Source organism: Homo sapiens, chromosome 1 (genome assembly GCF_000001405.40).
Source record: "Homo sapiens chromosome 1, GRCh38.p14 Primary Assembly".
NCBI classification, from domain to species: Eukaryota; Metazoa; Chordata; class Mammalia; order Primates; family Hominidae; genus Homo; species Homo sapiens.
Genome location: NC_000001.11, coordinates 212,830,054 through 212,850,637, shown reverse-complemented (window position 1 = coordinate 212,850,637; position 20,584 = coordinate 212,830,054). Strand labels below are relative to the sequence as shown.

At 43.6% G+C, this 20,584-nt stretch overlaps 1 protein-coding gene across 1 annotated transcript; it reads left to right on the top strand.

Annotated features, from left to right (window-relative positions):
- The first annotated feature begins 2,988 nt into the window (after positions 1–2,988).
- On the top strand, positions 2,989–20,497 carry SPATA45 (spermatogenesis associated 45). The gene is made up of 3 exons (NM_001024601.3): positions 2,989–3,058; positions 14,451–14,765; positions 20,377–20,497. Exons 2-3 carry the CDS (start codon positions 14,489–14,491, stop codon positions 20,394–20,396), a joined length of 297 nt encoding a protein of 98 aa, NP_001019772.1. The 5' UTR covers positions 2,989–3,058; positions 14,451–14,488; the 3' UTR covers positions 20,397–20,497.
- Positions 20,498–20,584: the final 87 nt, after the last annotated feature.

Here is a 20,584-nt window from a genome sequence, read left to right as displayed (position 1 = left end):
GAATCCAGCAGCACATCAAAAAGCTTATCCACCATGATCAAGTGGGCTTCATCCCTGGGATGCAAGGCTGGTTCAATATACGCAAATCAATAAATGTAATCCAGCATATAAACAGAGCCAAAGACAAAAACCACATGATTATCTCAATAGATGCAGAAAAAGCCTTTGACAAAATTCAACAACCCTTCATGCTAAAAACTCTCAATAAATTAGGTATTGATGGGACATATTTCAAAATAATAAGAGCTATCTATGACAAACCCACAGCCAATATCATACTGAACGGGCAAAAACTGGAAGCATTCCCTTTGAAAACTGGCACAAGACAGGGATGCCCTCTCTCACCACTCCTATTCAACATAGTGTTGGAAGTTCTGGCCAGGGCAATCAGGCAGGAGAAGGAAATAAAAGGTATTCAATTAGGAAAAGAGGAAGTCAAATTGTCCCTGTTTGCAGATGACATGATTGTTTATCTAGAAAACCCCATTGTCTCAGCCCAAAATCTCCTTAAGCTGATAAGCAACTTCAGCAAAGTCTCAGGATACAAAATCAATGTACAAAAATCACAAGCATTCTTATACACCAACAACAGACAAACAGAGAGCCAAATCATGAGTGAACTCCCATTCACAATTGCTTCAAAGAGAATAAAATACCTAGGAATCCAACTTACAAGGGATGTGAAGGACCTCTTCAAGGAGAACTACAAACCACTGCTCAAGGAAATAAAAGAGGATACAAACAAATGGAAGAACATTCCATGCTCATGGGTAGGAAGAATCAATATCGTGAAAATGGCCATACTGCCCAAGGTAATTTACAGATTCAATGCCATCCCCATCAAGCTACCAATGACTTTCTTCACAGAATTGGAAAAAACTACTTTAAAGTTCATATGGAACCAAAAAAGAGCCCGCATCGCCAAGTCAATCCTAAGCCAAAAGAACAAAGCTGGAGGCATCACACTACCTGACTTCAAACTATACTACAAGGCTACAGTAACCAAAACAGCATGGTACTGGTACCAAAACAGAGATATAGATCAATGGAACAGAACAGAGCCCTCAGAAATAACGCCGCATACCTACAACTATCTGATCTTTGACAAACCTGAGAAAAACAAGCAATGGGGAAAGGATTCCCTATTTAATAAATGGTGCTGGGAAAACTGGCTAGCCATATGTAGAAAGCTGAAACTGGATCCCTTCCTTACACCTTATACAAAAATCAATTCAAGATGGATTAAACTGTATTTTCTAAAAGTAAATAAATGTGTTGGCTGGGAGCGGTGGCTCAGGCCTGTAATCCCAGCACTTTGGGAGACCGAGCAGGAGGATGGCTTGAGCTCAGGAATTCGAGACAAGCCTGGGTAACATAGCGAGACCTTGTCTTTACAAAAAATACAAAAATTAGCCGGGCCTGGTGACACAAACCTATTCTTCCAGCTACTTGGGAGGCTGAGGTGGGAGGATGGCTTGAGCCCTGGAGGCGGGGGTTGCAATGAGCCAAGATCATGCCACTGCACTCTAGCCTGGGCAACAGAGCAAGACCTTGCCACCAAAAAAATAAAATAAATAAATGTGTTTTTAAAAAATGCACTGCCCACCTTTGAAGGCAACAATGGCACTATGAATGATCTCTAATTTCTTGAGTCAGCTTGTTTCTTGAGTTGCTTCTCCATGTAGTGAGTGAGTTAGTTAGTTTTGCTGGGCCCCTTCCTCCACATTGGAAACATTCCAGAGTGACCTGAAGATTTAAAAAAAAAAAAAACTGGAGACCTCCTCTTCTTAGAAAAGAAATATATGAATAAAATAACTTTCCATGTAGCTTGGGCAACATGGCAAAACCCCGTCTCTATGAGAAATTTAAAAATTAGCCAGTTGTGGTGGTCCACGCCTGTAGTCCCAGCTACTCAGGAGGCAGAGGTGAGAGGATCACCTGAGTTCAGGAGGTCGAGGTTGCAGTAAGCCTCAATCACACCACTGCACTCTAGCCTGTCCGATGGAATGAGATCCTGTCTCAAAAAACAAAAGAGGCCAGGGAGGCCAAGGTAGGCAGATCACCTGAGGTCAGGAGTTCGAGACCAGCCTGGCTAACTTGGTGAAACCTCATTTCTACTAAAAATACAAAATTAGCCGGATGTGGTGGCGTATGCCTGTAATCCCAGCTACTCAGGAGGCTGAGACAGGAGAATCACTTGAACCTGGGAGATGGAGGTTGCAGTAAGCCGAGATCGTGTCATTGCATTCCAGCCTGGGCAACAACAGTGAAACTCCATCTCAAAAACCAAACCAAAACAAAAACAAACAACAACAACAAGTTCCCCATGTAAAATATAAAGTTTTAATAAAACCAATAAAGTAGCTACCACTTACTGAGTACTTACAATGAATCTTTAGATTAGAACTCTTCTTCATCGGGGCAAGGACCCATTTGTCCCCAGTATCCACAATAGCTCCAAGCACAGTATGTGCTCAAAACATATCAGTACATGTAATAAATTGATGCCAGCCACAATGCAAAAATCTTTACATGCATTCCTAATTTAATCTCAACACTCTCCTCATCACTTACCACACATACAAACACACAGCTTGGTGAAAGCAGTATCTTTAGCCCCCATTTTGCAAATGATGAAACCAATATTACGAGGGTTGAATGGCTGGGCCTGGTGATGCACACCTGTAATCCCAGCATTTTGGGAGGCCAAGAGGAATCGCTTGAGCTCAGGAGTTCAAGAGCAGCGTGGCCGACATAATGAAACTGTGATTGCACCATTGCACTCCAGCCTGGGTGACAGAGCAAGACCTTGTCTCCAAAAAAAAAAAAAAAAAAAAAAAAAAGAGGGTAGAGGAATTTATATTTATCCAAGGTCACCTGGCTGGTAAGTAAATGATCTCTGACTCCAGAACCTCTCTTAACCAGGCTTCTATGAATAGAACAAAGTTGGAATGGCACTGATCAGAATATTCCATCACCAAGGTGTCATCCCAGTGGGCTAATCCACACCAGTGGACTTGAAACACGCTTTGGGTTGCTGTATGGTAGTATGCTAAAGGTAATTTATAATAATATACCTGTAGAAATAGTAATATATTTTCTCGTACAGTCAATTCTTATTATTATGATAGTTATGTTCTATAAAGTTGCCACAAACATTAAATTAGCAAATACTGAACCATTGCTCCTAGAAAGAATACGGCCGGCCCCTAACTTACAATTGTTTGACATACAATTTTTCGACTTTACAATGGCTCAAAAGCAATATGGATGGCGCAAAAGCAATATGGAAACCACAGTTTTGATCTTTTTCCCAGGCTAGTGCTACTAGTGCTATTTGCTATATGTATAACAAATACATTTTAGGGAGTAGCCAAATTTGCAAATACGTAATCAATGAGTAATGAGGATCTACTGTATATGCATGTTTAATATTTTCAAAACCTGGGCTGGGCACAGTTGCTCACGCCTGTAATCCCAGCACTTTGGGAGGCTGAAGCAGGAGGATCATTTGACCCCAGGAGTTCAAGACCAGCCTGGGCGACATGGCAAAATGACATCTCTACAAAAAATACAAAAATTAGCCAGGCATGGTGGTGTGTGCCTGTAGTTCCAGCTACTTGGAAGGTGAGGTGGGGGGATCACCTGAGCCCGGGAGGTTGAGGCTGCAGTGAGCTGTGATCAAGTCACTCACTGCACTCCAGCCTGGGTGACAAAGTGAGACCTTGTCTCAGAAAGAGAAAAAAAGAAAAGAAAAAGAAGTTTCAAAGCCCTTTTCAGTCTAATGCTCTCCCAACTGAGCTATTTTGGGGAGCCCTTCAAAGCCCCTTTTGTCACGTGCGTCCATGTGAAGAGACCACCAAACAGGCTTTGTGTGAGCAACAAGGCTGTTTATTTCACCTGGGTGCAGGCGGGCCGAGTCCAAAAAAGGAGTTAGCAAAGGGTGGTGGGATTATCATTAGTTCATATAGGTTTGGGATAGGTGTACAAAGTACATTCCTAAGGGCAGGGAAGAATATTACAAAGTACCTTCTTAAGTGGAGGGGGGAGAATATTACAAAGTACCTTCTTAAGGGCAGGGGAGAATATATCATATCAGTTAGGGTGGGGCAGGAACAAATCACAGTGGTGGAACGTCATCAGTTAAGGCTATTTTCAGGTCTTTTGTGGATATTCAGTTGCTTCAGACCATCTAGATGTATACGTACAGGTCACAGGGGATATGATGGCTTAGCTTGGGCTCAGAGGCCTGACATTCCTGTCTTCTTATATTATAATAAGAAAAACAAAACAAAACAGTGGTGAAGTGTTGAGGCAGCGAAAACTTTTGGGGGTGGTATGGAGAGATAATGGCAATGTTTTTCAGGGTTGCTTCAAGCAGGATTGGGGCAGCATGGGAACCTAGAGTGGGAGAGATTAAACTGAAGAAAGATTTTGGGGTAAGGGGTGATATTATGGGCTTGTTAGAAGGGGCATTTGTCGTATAGAATGATTGGTGATGACCTGGATGTGGTTTTGTATGAATTGAGAAACTAAATGGAAGGAAGACACAAGGTCCGAATAAGAGAAGGAGAAAAATAGGTATTAAAGGACTAAGAATTGGGAGGACCCAGGACATCCAATTAAGGAGTGCCCAAGGGGGTTCAGCATAATTATTTGCTTGGTTGGTGAGTTTTTGGGCTCTATCCTTGAGTTTTTTTATGTTGTCATATACCAGGCCAGATTGATTTAGGTAAAAACACTGTTTGTTTAAAAATATAGAGTCCTCTTTTTTTAGCAGTGAATAAGTGGAGGCCTGGGTGATTTTGGAGGAAAGAGAAATGCAAAGCCAGCAATTGTTTGTTAAAGAAGGATTAGAAACAGCTAGGAGAGAGTGAGATTGACAGTGTGGTGGAGATAGCTGGGGAGAGGTAGAGGGTGGCATAAGAACGGGAACCAGAATAAGAGTGAGTATAAAAGTAAAGAATAGGACTTCATCAGGGTGAAAGTATAGGAGTGTACTTTGTCAATGAAGATCTTCTATCCACTTAAACAGAGACTTAAGGGTGGCGATTTGAGGTAAAACCAGGAGCCATTAAATACCAAGAGCCTGAGAAATTGCTCAGGTGATTTGACTAATAAAGGCCGGTCCATTATCAGACTGTATAGAGGTGGGAAGGCCAAACTGAGGAATTATGTCTGACAGAAGGGAAGAAATGACTGCGGTGGCCTTCTCAGACCCTGAGGGAAAGGCCTCTACCCATCCAGTGAAAGTGTCTACCCAGACCAAGAGGTATTTTAGTTTCCTGACTTGGGGCATGTGAGTAAAGTCAATTTGCCAGTCCTGGGCAGGGGCAAATCCCCAAGCTTGATGTGTAGGGAAGGGAGGGGGCCTGAACAATCCCTGAGGGGTAGTAGAATAGTAGATGGAACACTGAGAAGTGATTTTCTTGAGGATAGATTTTCACGATAGAAAGGAAATGAGAGGTTCTAAGAGACGGGCTAGTAGCTTGTAACCTACATGGAAGAGATTATGAAATGACAACAGAATAGAATGGGCCTGTGAGGCTGGAAGGAGATATTTTCCTTGGTCCAAGAACCATTTGCCTTGTGTGGGAAGAGATTGATAGGTGGAAGTTTCAGTGGGGTGTAGGTAGGAGTGACCAATGAGAAGGAGAAAAACTGGCCATGAGGGACAGAAGTTGGAAGGCTAGCTGCTTCTTTGGTTACCTTATCAGCATAAGCATTGCCCTGAGCGATGGGATCTGATGCCTTTTGGTGGCCCTTGCAGTGAATGACTCCAGCTTCCTTTGGAAGTAAAGTGGCCTTGAGAAGAGTTTTTATTAAAGAAGTATTAATGATAGAGGATACTTGCGTAGTGAGGAAACCTCTTTCAGCCCATATAACAGCATGGTGGTGCAGGATATGGAAGGCATATTTAGAGTCAGTATAAATATTGATGCATAGTCCCTTGCAAGAGTGAGGGCCTGAGTTAAGGCAATGAGTTTGGCTTACTGAGACATAGTGGAGGGGGGCAGAGCAGTAGCCTCAGTGATAGATGTAGAAGATACAATAGCATAGCCTGCCTTTGCTGGTGAGTGGCGATTAGGCATGGTGGAACTGCCATCAATAGTGTGATCAGGGTGAGAAACAGGAAAGAAGGAAATATGGGGAAATGGAGTGAATGTCAGGTGGATCAGAGAGATAGCGTCATGGGGGTCAGGTGTTGTATCAGGAATAATGTGGGAGGCCAGATTGAAGTCCAGGCCAGGAACAATGGTAACTGTGGGAGACGCAGCAAAGAGTGAGTATAGTTGAAGGAGCTGAGGGGCAGAAAGTATATGCGTCAAGTGTGAGGAGGAAAATGGATTTTGAAAGTTATGGGAACTGTAGAGAGTAAGTGGAGCATAGCTTGTGATTTTGAGGGCCTCTAAAAGTATTAAAGCAGCAGCAGCAGCCGCTGCACACAGACATGAGGGCTAAGCTAAAACAGTAAAGTCAAGTTGTTTGGACCAAAAGGCTACAGGGTGCAGTCCCGGCTCTTGTGTAAGAATTCTGACCACACAGCCCTGCACTTTGGCTGTGTGTAATGAAAAAGTTGGGATGAGTTAGGGAGAGCTAGTGTGGGAGCAGCTTTTAGGGCTGTCTTTTAAGGAATGGAAAGGAGAGTGGGGAAAGGATTTAGGATTTATGGGGTCAGTTAGGTTGATCTAGAACAGAATAATGGAGGGAGATATTGAGGATAGGAGAGTATATGGGTTTGGCACTACAGGGTGGATAGGCAAGACAATTTGGTTGATAAGGCACAGATCCTGAACTAACCTGTAAGACTTGTCTGGTTTTTGGACCAGACCTTTCAAAGTCATTAGTTAAACATATTACTTATCTCCATTTAAGAGATTGTAAAATTGGATGAATTAGCAGTTGGAATTGGCCTGTTCCTATGTCACACACAGGACCAGTTTCACAGGCATGAGACCCAAACAGTCACATAGGGCCCTTTGCTCAGAAGGGTCTCACAATTGGCTTTAAGTTTTACTGTCATTACCTTGAACGTCTCCATTGTTTGTTAATAAAGGGTCCAGCATTTTTATTTTCGCTGGACCCTACAAATTATGTAGCCAATTCTAGTCACACAGCAAGTAAACAAGATTAGAAACTGGGGAGAAAAGAAAATACTAAATTATTTACTTATCAAATTGAACAAAACTTTTTTTAAAGTGCCTATTTAATATGATAAAGTTACCACTTATTGAGGGTTGGTTGTATTAAGCTCTTGGTATTTATTAGCTCATTTAGTCCTTATGACACTCTGTGAGTTGGATATTATTTTCTTTACTTTTCTTTCTTTCTTTTCTTTTTTTTTTTGAGATGGAGTGTCACTTTTGTTGCCCAGGCTGGAGTGCAATGGTGCGGTCTTGGCTCACCGCAACCTCTGCCGCTGGAGTTCAAGCAATTCTCCTGCCTCAGCCTCCAGAGTAGCTGGGATTACAGGCATGTGCCACCGCGCCCAGCTAAGTGTGTGTGTGTGTGTGTGTGTGTGTGTGTGTGTGTGTGTATGTTTGACGGAGTCTTGCTCTGTTGCCCAGGCTGGAGTGCAGTGGTGCAATCTCGGCTCGCTGCAAGCTCCGCCTCCTGGGTTCACACCATTCTCCTGCCTCACCCTCACAAGTAGCTGGGACTACAGGCGCATGCCACCACGCCCAGCTAATTTTTTTTTTTTTTTGTATTTTTAGTAGAGACAGGGTTTCACCGTGTTAGCCAGGATGGTCTTGATCTCCTGACCTAGTGATCCGCCTGCCTCGGCCTCCCAACATGCTGGGATTACAGGCGTGAGCCACCACGCCCAGCCGAGACAGGGTTTCACCATGTTGGCCAGGCTGATTTTGAACTCCCAACTTCAGGTGATCCACCTGCCTAGGCCTCCCAAAGTGTTGGGATCACAGGCGTGAGCCACCGCACCTGGCCTGGATATTATTTTCATTTAACACATCAGGAAACTGAGGCCCAGAGAAGGTAAGTAACTTAAACAAGATCATACAGTTAGGAGGCAGCATAGGTAAAATATTAATCAAATCTTTTTTACTTAAAAAATATGCTTGTACCACTAGACTCTATTACTGTGTCTATTTTGTTTTATTTAGCTCCAGTTGTCAGGTAACTTGTAATAAGAGTTTGAATTTTGAGAACTTCATGGTGAACTTTTAACTAAGACATCTATGTTTTATTTGCAGTTCACCTATAAAATGGGCTTTTATTTTATTTTTATTTTATTTTTTTGAGACCAAGTTTCATTCTTGTCCCCCAGGCTGGAGTGCAATGGTGTGATCTCGGCTGACTGCAACCTCTGCCTCCCAGGTTCAAGCAATTCTCCAGCCTCAGCCTCCTGAGTAGCTGGGATTACAGGTGCCTGCCACCACACTTGGCTAATTTTTGTATTTTCAGTAGAGACCGGGTTTCACCATGTTGGCCAGGCTGGTCTCGAACCCCTGACGTCAGGTGATCCACCCGCCTCGGCCTCCCAAAGTGATGGGATTACAGGCATGAGCCACCGCACCCAGCCTAAAATGGACTTTTAACAAAATATAAATTAACTCAGGCTGGGAGTGATGACTTACGCCTGTAATCCCAGCAATTTGGGAGGCCAAGGCGGGCAGATCACTTGAGGTCAGGAGTTCAAGACCAGCCTGGCCAACATGGTGAAAACCCCCTCTCTACTAAAAATACAAAAAAATTAGCTGGGCATGGTGGTGCACACCTGTAATCCCAGCTACTCAGTAGGCTGAAGCATGAGAACCTCTTGAACCCAGGAGGCAGAGGCTGTAGTGAGCCAAGATCACGCCACTGCACTCCAGCCTGGGTGACAGAGTGAGACTCCATTTCAAAACTAACAAACAAAAATAGGCACTTGACAAACTGACCTTTTTATTTTTTATTATTTTATTTTATTTTTTTGAGAGGGAGTGACGCCCAGCCTGGGCGACAGAGCGAGACTCCTTCTTAAAAGAAAAAAAAAAAAAAAAAAAAGAAAGATACCTCTTCTTTGCTTATTTAGGAAAGAAAAATTGATGGCTCTGGTAGCTTTCCTAAAACAATGTGTGTTTGTGTGATTTCTGTCACTTCAATGTGTTTCAAAGCATTATTATAAAAATAAATCAAAAACAACCTAAAGTCTAGCAATAAAAAGAATAATTAATGTGAGGCACAGTGGCTTATACCTGTAATCCCAGCCTTTGAAAGGCTGAGGTGGGTAGATCGCTTGAGCTTAGGAGTTTCAGCCCAGCCTGGGCAACATGTTGAAACCCTGTCTCTACCAAAAATACAAAAAAATTAGCTGGGCATGGTGGTGCGCACTTGTGGTGGTCCCAGCCACTCAGGAGGCTGAGGTTGGAAGATCACTTGAGCCTAGGAGGCAGAGGTTGCAGTGAGCCAAGATCATGCCCCTGGATTCCAGCCTGGGTGACAGAATGAGACCCCATCTCAAAAGAAAAGAAAAAAAAAGGAAAGATGGTGTCTCCCACTCTAAAAGAATTTAAAAAGACTTACAAACATTAGCTGGGTGTGGTGGCACATGCCTGTAATCCCAGCTACTGGGGAGGCTGAGGCAGGAGAATCGCATGAAACCAGGGAGTCAGGGTTGCAGTGAGCCGATATCACTCCACTGGACTCCATCCTGGAGACAGAGAGAGACTCCGCCTCAAAAAAGAAGAGAGAGAGAGAGAATTTAAAAGGTGAGCGCGGAGCCGGGTGCGGTGGCTCAGTCCTGTAATCCCAGCACTTTGGGAGGCCAAGGCGGGCAGATCAAGAGGTCAGGAGATCGAGTCCATCCTGGCTAACATGGTGAAACCCCGTCTCTACTAAAAATACAAAAAAATTAGCCGGGCGTGGTGGCGGACGCCTGTAGTCCCACCTACTCGAGAGGCTGAGGCAGGAGAATGGCTTGAACCCAGGAGGCAGAGCTTGCAGTGAGCCAAGATCGCGCCCCTGCACTCCAGCTTGGGCGACAGAGCGAGATTCGGTCTCAAAACAAAACAAAACAGGCGAGGGCGGTGGCCCACGCCTGTACAAAAAGTAGCTGGGCATGGTGGTGCGCCTCTGTAATCCCAGCTACTTTGGGAGGCTGAGGCACGAGAATCGCTTGAACCTGCACTCCAGCCTGGACGACAGAGCAAGACTCTGTCTCAAAAAAACAAAACAAAATGAAAACAAAATAATTTAAAATTAAAATTAATTTTGTGTGTTTGTTTTTGAGACGGAGACTCGCTCTGCTGCCCAGGCTGGGGTGCAATGGAACGATCTCCGCTCACTATAACCTCTATCTTCCGGGTTCAAGTGATTCTTCCGAATCAGCCTTCCAAGTAGCTGGGATTACAGGTGCGCGCCACCACGCCCGGCTAAGTTTTGTATTTTTGTAAAGACGGGGTTTCACCATGTTGGCCAGGCTGGTCTTGAACTCCTGACAGGTGATCTGCCTGCCTTGGCCTCCCAAAGTGCAGGGATTACAGGCATGAGCCACTGCGCCTGGCCCACTAAAATTAAATTTAAAAAAAGAAAAAAAATTATAAATTCACATGATAGACTATTACATTGTCAAATCTTACATTTTTATTACTAATGACATATGTAAAGACATGAAAAATTCTCACAATAACTATATTAAAGTGAAAGAAAATCAAAACTTGTAAGTAATATATACTATTTATTCATTCATTAAAATATTTATCAACCACCTGATATTCATTAGGCAATGTGCTAGGTACTCAGCCCAATTTTATGTAAGAGCTTTATTGACTGGTCATTGACATACAATGAACTGTCCATGTTTAAAATGTACAGTTTGATGTTTTTGACATATGCATACACCCAGGAAAGCATCACCACAATTAAGATAATAAACATATTCATCAGCCCCAAAGTTTATTCATATCCCTTGTAATCCCTGCCACCCTTGCTGCCTACCTTTCCCCATTCCCAAGCAACCATTGATTTTCATTTGTCACTGTAGGGGACTTCATATTTCCTAGCATTTTTTTTTTTTTTTGACATAGGGTCTTGCTGTGTTGCCCAAGCTGGAGTGCAGTTTTGTGATCACGGCTCACTGCAACCTCCACCTCCTGGGTTCAAGCCATCCTTCCACCTCAGCCTCCTGAGTAGCTGGGATTACAGGCAGGTGCCACCACACCTAGTTAAATTCTTGAATTTTCTGTAGAGACAAGGTCTCATTATATTGCTTAGTCTGGTCTTGAACTCCTGAGCTCAAGCAGTCCTCCTTCCTCAGCTTTCCAAAGTGCTGGGATTATAGGCATGAGCCACCATACCTAGCCTAATATTTCCTAGAGTTTTATATGCATGGAATCGTACACTATACATTCTGATTTGTCTGGCTTTTTTTTTTTCTTTTTACTCAGCATAGTTATTTTGAGCTTCAGCCATAATATTGTGTTTATCAACAATATATGAACACTACTCAAAAATATATATTGATGAATTAGCATCTCAGGTAAAAGGAATATATTATATATATATATAATATATATAAATATATTTTATAACTCAGTGTCAATTGTGCACATATACCACAATTTATTTGTTCTGCTTCTGATGGACATTTGGGTTGTTAGAACTTTTTGGCTCATAAAAATAAAGCAGTGGGCTGGGCCTGGTGGCTGTGCTCACACCTGTAATCTCAGTACTCTGGGAGGCCAAGGCAGGAGGATCCCTTGAGCCCAGGATTCAAGACTAGCCTTAGGAACATAATGAGACCTCATCTCTATGAAAAATAAAAACAAAAATAGCCAGGTGTGGTGGCCTGCGCCTGTATCCCAGCTACTTGGGAGGCTGAGGTGGGAAGATGGCTTGAGCCTGGGAGGTCGAGGATGCCGTGAGCCATGGTCACGCCACTTCACTCTAGCCTGGGTGACAGAAAGAGACCCTGTCTCAAAAATAAATAAATAAAAATAAAGCTGTGTAAAAACAACAACAACAACAACAAAAGTTTTTTAAAAAGCTGTGATTAACATTCATGTGTTAGTTTTCATATGTACAGATACATTTCTTTATGCATGTGTTTGGAGAATTTCATTGCTCTAGGGTAAATACCTAGGAATGGATCAAATGATAGGAGTATGTTTAACTTTTTAAGAAGCTGCATGATTATTTTCCAGACATTGTTCCATTTTACATTCTCACTAGCAGCATATGAGAATTCCAGGTCCTCCATATCTTTGCTAACACATGGTTTGGTCAGTCTTTTTCATTTCAGCCATTCTAGTGGTATGTAGTGATATCTCATTGTAGTATTGATTTACACTTTCCTAGTGACTGATGATGACGAATGTATTTTTTTTTTTTTTTTTAGACAAAGTCCTGCTCTGCCGCCCAAGCTGGAGTGTAGTGCTATGATCTTGACTCACCGCAACCTCGCCTCCCAGGTTCAAACAATTCTCCTGCCTCAGCCTCCTGAGTAGCTGGGATTACAAGTGCATACCACCATGCCCGGTTAATTTTTTTATGTATTTTTAGTAGTGACAGGGTTTTGCCATGTTGAACAGGCTGGTCTCGAACTCCTGACCTCAGGTGACCCATACACCTCGGCCTCCCAAAGTGCTGGGATTGTAGGTGTGAGCCATCACGCCCAGCCCCATTTCTTTGTCTTCTGGTTTATGTTATTGCTTGTTGAGGAGTCAGCTGTTGGTCCAATTGTCCCTCCTTTTATTCTCTGGTTGCTTTTAAGATTTTCTTTTCTTTTTAAGTTCACTGTAATCTCAGCGTGGGCTTTTTAAAAATCCTGACTGCTATTGTTTGAGCTTCTTGAGACTGTGGACTGTATCATTTATCAGTGCTGAATATTTCGCTATCTTTCCAAATCTTGCTCTGACACCCAGGCTGGAGTGCAATGGCACAATCTCAGCTCACTGCAACCTTCACCTCCCAGGCTTAAGTGATCCTCCCACCTAGGCCTTCCAAAGTGTTGGGATTATAGGCGTGAGCCACTGCGCCTGGCCACTTTATTTTATTTTATTTTTTGAGACAGAGTCTCACACTGTCGCACAGGCTGGAGTGCAATCGCGTGATCTCAGCTCACTGCAACCTCTGCCTCCCGGGTTCAAGCGACTCTCATGCCTCAGGCTCCTGAGTAGCTGGGATTACAGGTGCCTGCCACCATGCCTGGCTAATTTTTTGTATTTTTAGTAGAGACAGGGTTTCACTATGTTGGCCAGGCTGGTCTTGAACTCCTGACCTTGTGATCTGCCCGCCTTGGCCTCCCAACGTGCTGGGATTACAGGCATGAGCCACAGCGCCTGGCCGCCACTTTTAAAAAATAAAATCCCTTTGGATACTTATTGGGAAAGTAACACCCAAAATATTAATGGATGTCTCTGGATCGAGAGTAATTTTAACTTTTCTACTTTATCTTTTTCTGTATTTTCTTAATTATCTACCATGAATATGTATTATTTTTATAATCATGTATTAAACATGTATTATTTATCTATTACATTATTAATATATGTAATAAACATGTATTATTTTTATAATCAGAAGAAATAATGCTTCTAAAAGCAAAAAACAATGCATAGTATAATTTTAAAAAACAATAATATATCCTCTTACCATATCTTTTTAACCTTTGTTTCCCCTGAAGAACACCTAAAAAACAAAAAATAAAACCCTTAAGAAACAATAATAAAAAGTGAGGTGTGGCCGGGTACGGTGGCTCATGCCTGTAATCCCAGCACTTTGGGAGGCCGAGGCGGGTGGATCACAACTTCAGGAGTTCGAGACCAACCTGGCCAATATGGTGACACCCCGTCTTTACTAAAAATACAAAAAAAAAAAAAAATTAGCTGGGCATGGTGGTGCATGCCTGTAATCCCAGCTACTCAGGAAGCTGAGGCAGGAGAATTGCTTGAACCCTGGAGGCGGAGGTTGCAGTGAGCTGAGATCGAGCCACTGCACTCCAGCCTTGGCAACAGAGTGAGACTCCATCTCAAAAAATAAAAAAATAAAAAAAAAGTGAGGTGTGCTGTCCGGGCACAGTGGCTGACACCTGTAATCCCAGCACTTTGGGAAGCTGAGGTGGGTGGATCACCTGAGGACAGGAGTTCGAGACCAGCCTGGCCAGCATGGCGAAACCCCATCTCTACTGATAATAGAAAAATTAGCCAGGCATGGTAGTGCGCGCCTGTAATTCCAGCTACTTAGGAGGCTGAGGCACAAGAATCACTTGAATCTGGAAGGTGGAAGTTGCAGTGAGCTGAGATCATGCCACTGTGTGTCAACCTGGGCGACAGAGCAAGACCCTGTCTAAAAAAATAAGTAAATAAAAAAGTGAAGCGTGGGGTGGGAGGCTTGGTGGTGGTTGTGGTGTTATTTTATAGAAGGCAAAAAGAGAAACTGGCAAACGTGATTGTGAATACTGGCTTCTGAGTCAAAAAGACAATTGAAAGTATTTTTTCATTTGTTTGTAGGACAGCAAGAATCACTTGACAATTGGTTTGTGACCATAATGGCATCTATAAACAGAACCATTGAAATAATGAAAAAACATGGAGTAAGCAAACAACATCTCCTGGAGGAGATAAACAAAAAGCGTGAATCCAACTGCTTGGTGGAACGAAGCAATCAAGTCAGCTTACTGAGAGTTCAAAAGAGGCACTTCCCGGATGCCTATCAGTCCTTTACTGATACCACAACCAAAGAGCCTGTTCCCAACAGTGGCAGGAGCTCCTGGATCAAGCTGAGTCTCCTTGCTCACATGGAGAGAAAGCACTTTCCACCAAAAAGTAAGAAGTTATCATAGGATTTTTTTTTTTTTTTTTGAGATGGAGTTTTGCTCTTGTCGCCCAGGCTGGAGTGCAGTGGCGCGATCTCAGCTCACTGCAACCTCCACCTCCCGGGTTCAAGCGATTCTTCTGTCTCAGCCTCCCAGGTAGCTGGGAATACAGGCACCTGCCACCACGCCTGGCTAATTTTTTTGTATTTTTTAGTAGAGACGGGATTTCACCTTGTTGGCCAGGCTGGTCTCAAACTCCTGACCTCAGGTGATCCACCCACCTCGGCCTCCTAAAGTGCTGCGATTACAGGCATGAGCCACCACACCCAGCCTATGATAGGATTCTTTTTTTGTTTTTTGAGACAGAGTTTTGCTCTTGTTGCCCAGGCTGGAGTGCAATGGCACGATCTCAGCTTACAGCAACCTCCATCTGGATTCAAGCGATTCTCCTGCCTTAGCCTCTCGAGTAGCTGGGATTACAGGCATGCACCACGAAGTCTGACTGATTTTTTTGTATTTTTAGTAGAGACCGGGTTTCTTCATGTTGGTCAGGCTGGTCTTGAACTCCCAACGTCAGGTAATCCACCCACCTTGGCCTCTCAAAGTGCTGGGATTACAGGCGTGAGCCACCGTGCCCGGCCTATGATAGGATTCTTAACCAATGTATAGGAATGATTTGTAGGTATTCCTAAAAATTAGGAAGAATTTCTGGGATTGAAAGAGGTCCCCTGAGTATTGCCCTGGTATAGCATAAAGGCAATCTGTTTGAAGGTAAAAGTGTCATTAAACTAGGCTGGTGGATTGTAAGATCTATTATAGACCAGAGACTCTCTTTTTTTATGCATACAGAATCCCAGGCCTCAGCTTCAGGCCATCTCATTCAGTAGACTCTAGGGAGGTGCCTGGAAATCTGCATTCTCAGCAGACTAAGGTGATGCTGATGCCAATGGCCTGAGAACCACATTTTGATAAGAGTTGTTATAATAGTTACAATAGACCACAAAAACTTCAGAAACCTGCTATCTCGTCAATTTCTCTGGCCTTTACAAACATTTCATGTGCAAAATTGAGGTGCAGTGGAGATCCTTTTGATGACAAATATCACACAAAAAGCCCTAATAAAATGTGGAGAGGCCGGGCGCGGTGGCTCACACCTCCAGTCCCAGCACTTTGGGTGGCCAAGGCAGGCGGATCACCTGAGGTCAGGAGTTTGAGACCAGCCTGGCCAACATGGTGAAACCCTATCTCTACTAAAAATGCAAAAATTAGCTGGGCGTGGTGGCACGCACCTTTAGTCCCAGCTACTTGGGAGGCTGAGGCAGGAGAATTGTTTGAATCCCAGAGGTGGAGGTTGCAGTGAGCCGAGATCACTCCGGTGTACTCCAGCCTGGGCGACAGAGTGAGACTCCTTCTCAAAAAAAAAAAAAAGTGGACGAAGGTTGTTGGGGGCAGGGGATGGCATGGTGGTGATGGTGGTGGTATTATTTTATAGGAGGAAGAAGGGGAGCTGATAAATACCTTCATTGTGAATACTTGTTTCTTAGTCTAGGCAGGCAGCTGAGATAGCATTTTTTCATTTATTTGAAAAAAAGAGAAGGGGGTGTGTAATCATATCTAATACAACCAACAAATTATTAATTTAGATCAGAAACAAAAGAATCACCACACTTGAGATTTCAATTCTTTGATGTGGCTGTGACTTTACACTTGCCCAGTGCTCTTAGGAAGTGGAGTAGAGTGTGATACAGTGTGGTGTAGAAAGCTGAGATTCTCCACTGTGTTTAGAGTTAATTTGTAACAGTCATGTGTTTGTTTTATTCAAAAATAACTCTAGGGCTGGGCAAGGTGGCTCATGCCTATAATCCTAGCATTTTGGGAGGCCGAGGTGGGCGGATCACCTGAGATGAAAGGAGGAAGTATTACGTCTCACTTTAAATCAAAAGCTAGAAATGATTAAGCTTAGTGAGGAAGGCATGGCAAAAGCCAAGATAGGCCAAAAGCCAGGCCTCTTGTGCCAGTCATTTATCCAAATTATCAATGCAAAGGAAAAACCCTTGAAGGAAATTTAAAATTCCCTTTAGTGAACACACAAATGATAAGAAAGCAAAACAGCCTTATTGCTGATAGGGAGAAAGTTTCAGTGATCTGGACAGATGAACCCAGCCACAACATTTCCTTAAGTCAAAGCCTAACCCAGAGCAAGGCCCCAACTCTCTTCAATTCTGTGAAAGCTGAGTCTCTCTGTCACCCAGGCTGAAGTGCAATGACGTGATCTCAGCTCACTGCAACCTCTGCCCCCAGGTTCAAGTGCTTCAGCCTCCCAAGTAGCTGGGATTGCCTGCCACCACGCCTGGCTAATTTTTTTTTTTTTTTTTTTTTGTATTTTAGTAGAGATGGGGTTTCGTCATGTTGGCCAGACTGGTTTCAAACTCCTGGCTTCAAGTGATCCACCCATCTCGGCCTCCCAAAGTGCTGGGATTATAGGCTTGAGCCACTGAGCCCGGCCAGGAGGCCATTATTCTAAGTGAAGTGACTCAGGAATGGAAAACCAAATATTGTCTGTTCTCACTTATAAGTGGGAGCTAAGCTATGAGGATGCAAAGGCATAGGAATTATATAATGGACTTTAGGAACCCCAAGGGAAAGAAAGGTAAAAGAGGGGCAAGGAATAAAAGACTATATGCTCGGTTGATGGGTGCACCAAAATCTCAGAAATCACCGCTGAAGAACTTACCCATGTAACCAAAACCTACCTTTACCCCAAAAACTACTGAAATTAAAAATAAACAAAAGAAACCACCCTATCTAAGCAGCACTCCTCAACACTCTATAATCCCTTACCCAGCTTTCTTTTTTACCACAGTGTTTATCACTCCCTAATGAAGGCTAGGCTCCTTGAAGGCAGGGATGGTATCTGCTTTTTTCACCACTTTATCTTCAGTCCCTAGAACAGTGTCTGGCACAAATTAGGAACTCAGGAAACGTTTCCTGGCTGATTGAATAAATGTTGGGACATGGAATATACTTTCCCAGAAGTAGTGGTAGAACTTACCTCATTCCTCTCGAGACCAATAGCTATGTCCTTGGGCAATGGCTCACAAACCTAAGAGTTTCTCACAGCAACCTTAGTTGGTTGCTGTGGAATAATCTTTAGAAATGCAGGAGGGTAATAATACAGTAATTTTGCTGGACATATTCAATACGAATTGGAAGGCACTGTACTCCTTTCCTTTGCATACCTGTGCAAGAGGAAGAAACACTCATTTACTCTTTATTCATTCAACGAATATATATCAGTGCTTACTTGATGTCAGGCACTCTTCTACGTGCTTGTCAATACAGTGATGAATAAAATCTTGCCTCAAAAAGCTTAGGTTTTGGTGTGCTGGCTCATGCCTGTAATCCTAGCACTTTGGTAGGCTGAGGCAGGAGGATCCCTTGAGCCCAGGAGTTTGAGAGTAGCCTGGGCAACATAGAGAGACCTCTTCTCTATTTCTAAAAAAAAAAAAAAAAAAAAAAAAAAGCTTAGATTTCACTGGGTAGAGAGCCAGATAAACAAGTTAAAAAATAGTACATTTCAGCCGGGCACAGTGGCTCACGCCTGTAATCCCAGCATTTTGGGAGGCCGAGGCGAGTGGATCACCTGAGGTCAGGAGTTCGAGACCAGCCTGACCAACATGGTGAAACCCCACAAAAATTAGCTGGGCATGGTGGTGCATGCCTGTAATCCTAGCTACTCTGGAGGCTGAGGCAGAAGAATCACTGGAATCCGGGAGGAGGAGGTTGCAGTGAGCAGAGATCGCGCCACTGCACTACAGCCTGGGCAACAAGAGCGAAACTCCGTCTCAAAAAAAAAAAAAAAAAAAAGGAAGTAAATGTCCGATCAGATAGTGATAAATGGGTAAGAGCTATGGGGAAACAGAAAACAGCAGGGTGGGGGATAGGAAGTGTTGGATGGAGGGTGTATTGCTGCCCATATAACTATATGGGGATTACTATCCAGGGCATGAGGGATGACCCAGGACTCCTGGGTTCCTTGAGGAGTCCAGTGTAAACAGGGATAAGGGACAGAATGAGATTAGTCCTGATGGTCGAACCTAGCGGTGGTCTAACCTGGTGGGGAGGCCTGTGTGTTGAGGGGAAGTAATGTTACAGATTTTGCATAGAGTATTTGGAGTTCTGGGTGATCCTCTTTGCTTCTATTAATAGTGACGTGAAGACTAGGAAAGAAGTTCTCTTAGTCCGAGATTTCCAGGCCCTCTTTTCAATCTTCCACTTGGAGATGTGGAGCCCAAAAGGGGGGCAGTTTATTTAAATATATAGAATTAAAAACACCTGGGTTCAAGTTTTGCCTCTGTCATTGACTAGTATCATGCTTTTAGTAATTTGAGGTTTTTTTTTTTTTTTTTAGAGGCAGAGTCTTGCTCTGTCACTGGGGCTGGAGCGCAGTGGTGTGATCATAGCTCACTGTATCCTCAACCTCCTGGGCTCGAGCGATCCTCCTACCTCTCAGCCTCCCGAGTAGCTGGGACTATAGGCATGTGCCACCATGCTTGGCTAACTTTTGTATTTTTTTAATAGAGTCTGGATTTTGCCATGTTGCCCAGGTTGGTCTCAAATTCTTGACCTCAAGCAATCTGCCTGCCTCAGCCTCCCAAAGCGCTGGGATTACAGGCGTGAGCCACCGTGCCCAACCATTTGGTGTTTCTTTCTTTCTTTTTTTTTTTTTAATTTATTGAGACGGAGTCTCACTCTGTCACTTTGTCACAGGCTGTAGTGCAGTGGCTCGATCTTGGCTCACTGCAACCTCTGCTGCCCGGGGTTCAAGCGATTCTCCTGCCTCAGCCTCCAGAGTAGCTGGGATTACAGGTGTGCACCACCACACCCAGCTAATTTTTTTTGAGATTTTTTCTTGCTCTGTCACCAGGCTGGAATGCAGTGTTGCGATCTCGGCTCACTGCAACCTCCACCTCCCGGGTTCAACTGATTTCTCCTGCCTCAGCCTCCTGAGTAGCTAGGACTACAGGCGCATCCCACCACACCCAGCTAATTTTTGTCTTTTTAGTAGAGATGGGGGTTTCAACATGTTGGCCAGGATGGTCTCCATCTCTTGACCTCGTGATCCGCCCACCTCAGTCTCTCAAAGTGCTGGGATTACAGGCGTGAGCCACAGCGCCTGGCCGCCATTTGGTGTTTCTTTTTTTTTTTTTGGAGTCGGAGTCTTGCTCTTTCGCCCAGGCTGGAGTGCAGTGGTGTGATCTCGGCTCACTGCACGTTCCGCCTCCTGGGTTCAACCGATTCTCTTGTCTCAGCCTCCTGAGTAGCTGGGACTACAGGAGCGCGCCACGACGCCCGGCTAATTTTTGTATTTTTTTAGTAGAGATGGGGTTTCACCATCTTGGCCAGGATGGTCTCGATCTCCTGACCTCGTGATCCGCCCACCTCGGCTTCCCAAAGTGCTGGGATTACAGGTGTGAGCCACCGCACCCGGCCCATTTGGTGTTTCTAAACCTTAGTTCCTGTATCTGAAAAACAATACTCTGCCCTCCAGGGTTATTTTAAAAACCATGAAATGTGTTATAAGTTATATAACAAATACTTTTTATTTTTTATTTTTTCAGATAATGCCATATTTGGATAAAGTGCATCTCCAGAGACACACGGAAATACATTCTCTTTGATTCTTCTTCAGTGTGTCTAAATTATTTACAAATTATTAATTATAAACAAAGCTAAACAAAAGTATTCACTAGATCCCTCAAAAAACATTAAGTCACATAAAACATATCTTTATTCATTCCATTCTATCATTTAAACTTAGATGATTTG

Excerpts from the sequence above, each read along its gene's own strand:
- SPATA45 (NM_001024601.3), top strand. The coding sequence starts at position 14,489 with ATGGCATCTATAAACAGAACCATTGAAATAATGAAAAAACATGGAGTA. Across the intron at positions 14,766-20,376 it reads AAAGCACTTTCCACCAAAAA|ATAATGCCATATTTGGATAA; the intron begins GTAAGAAGTTAT and ends TTATTTTTTCAG.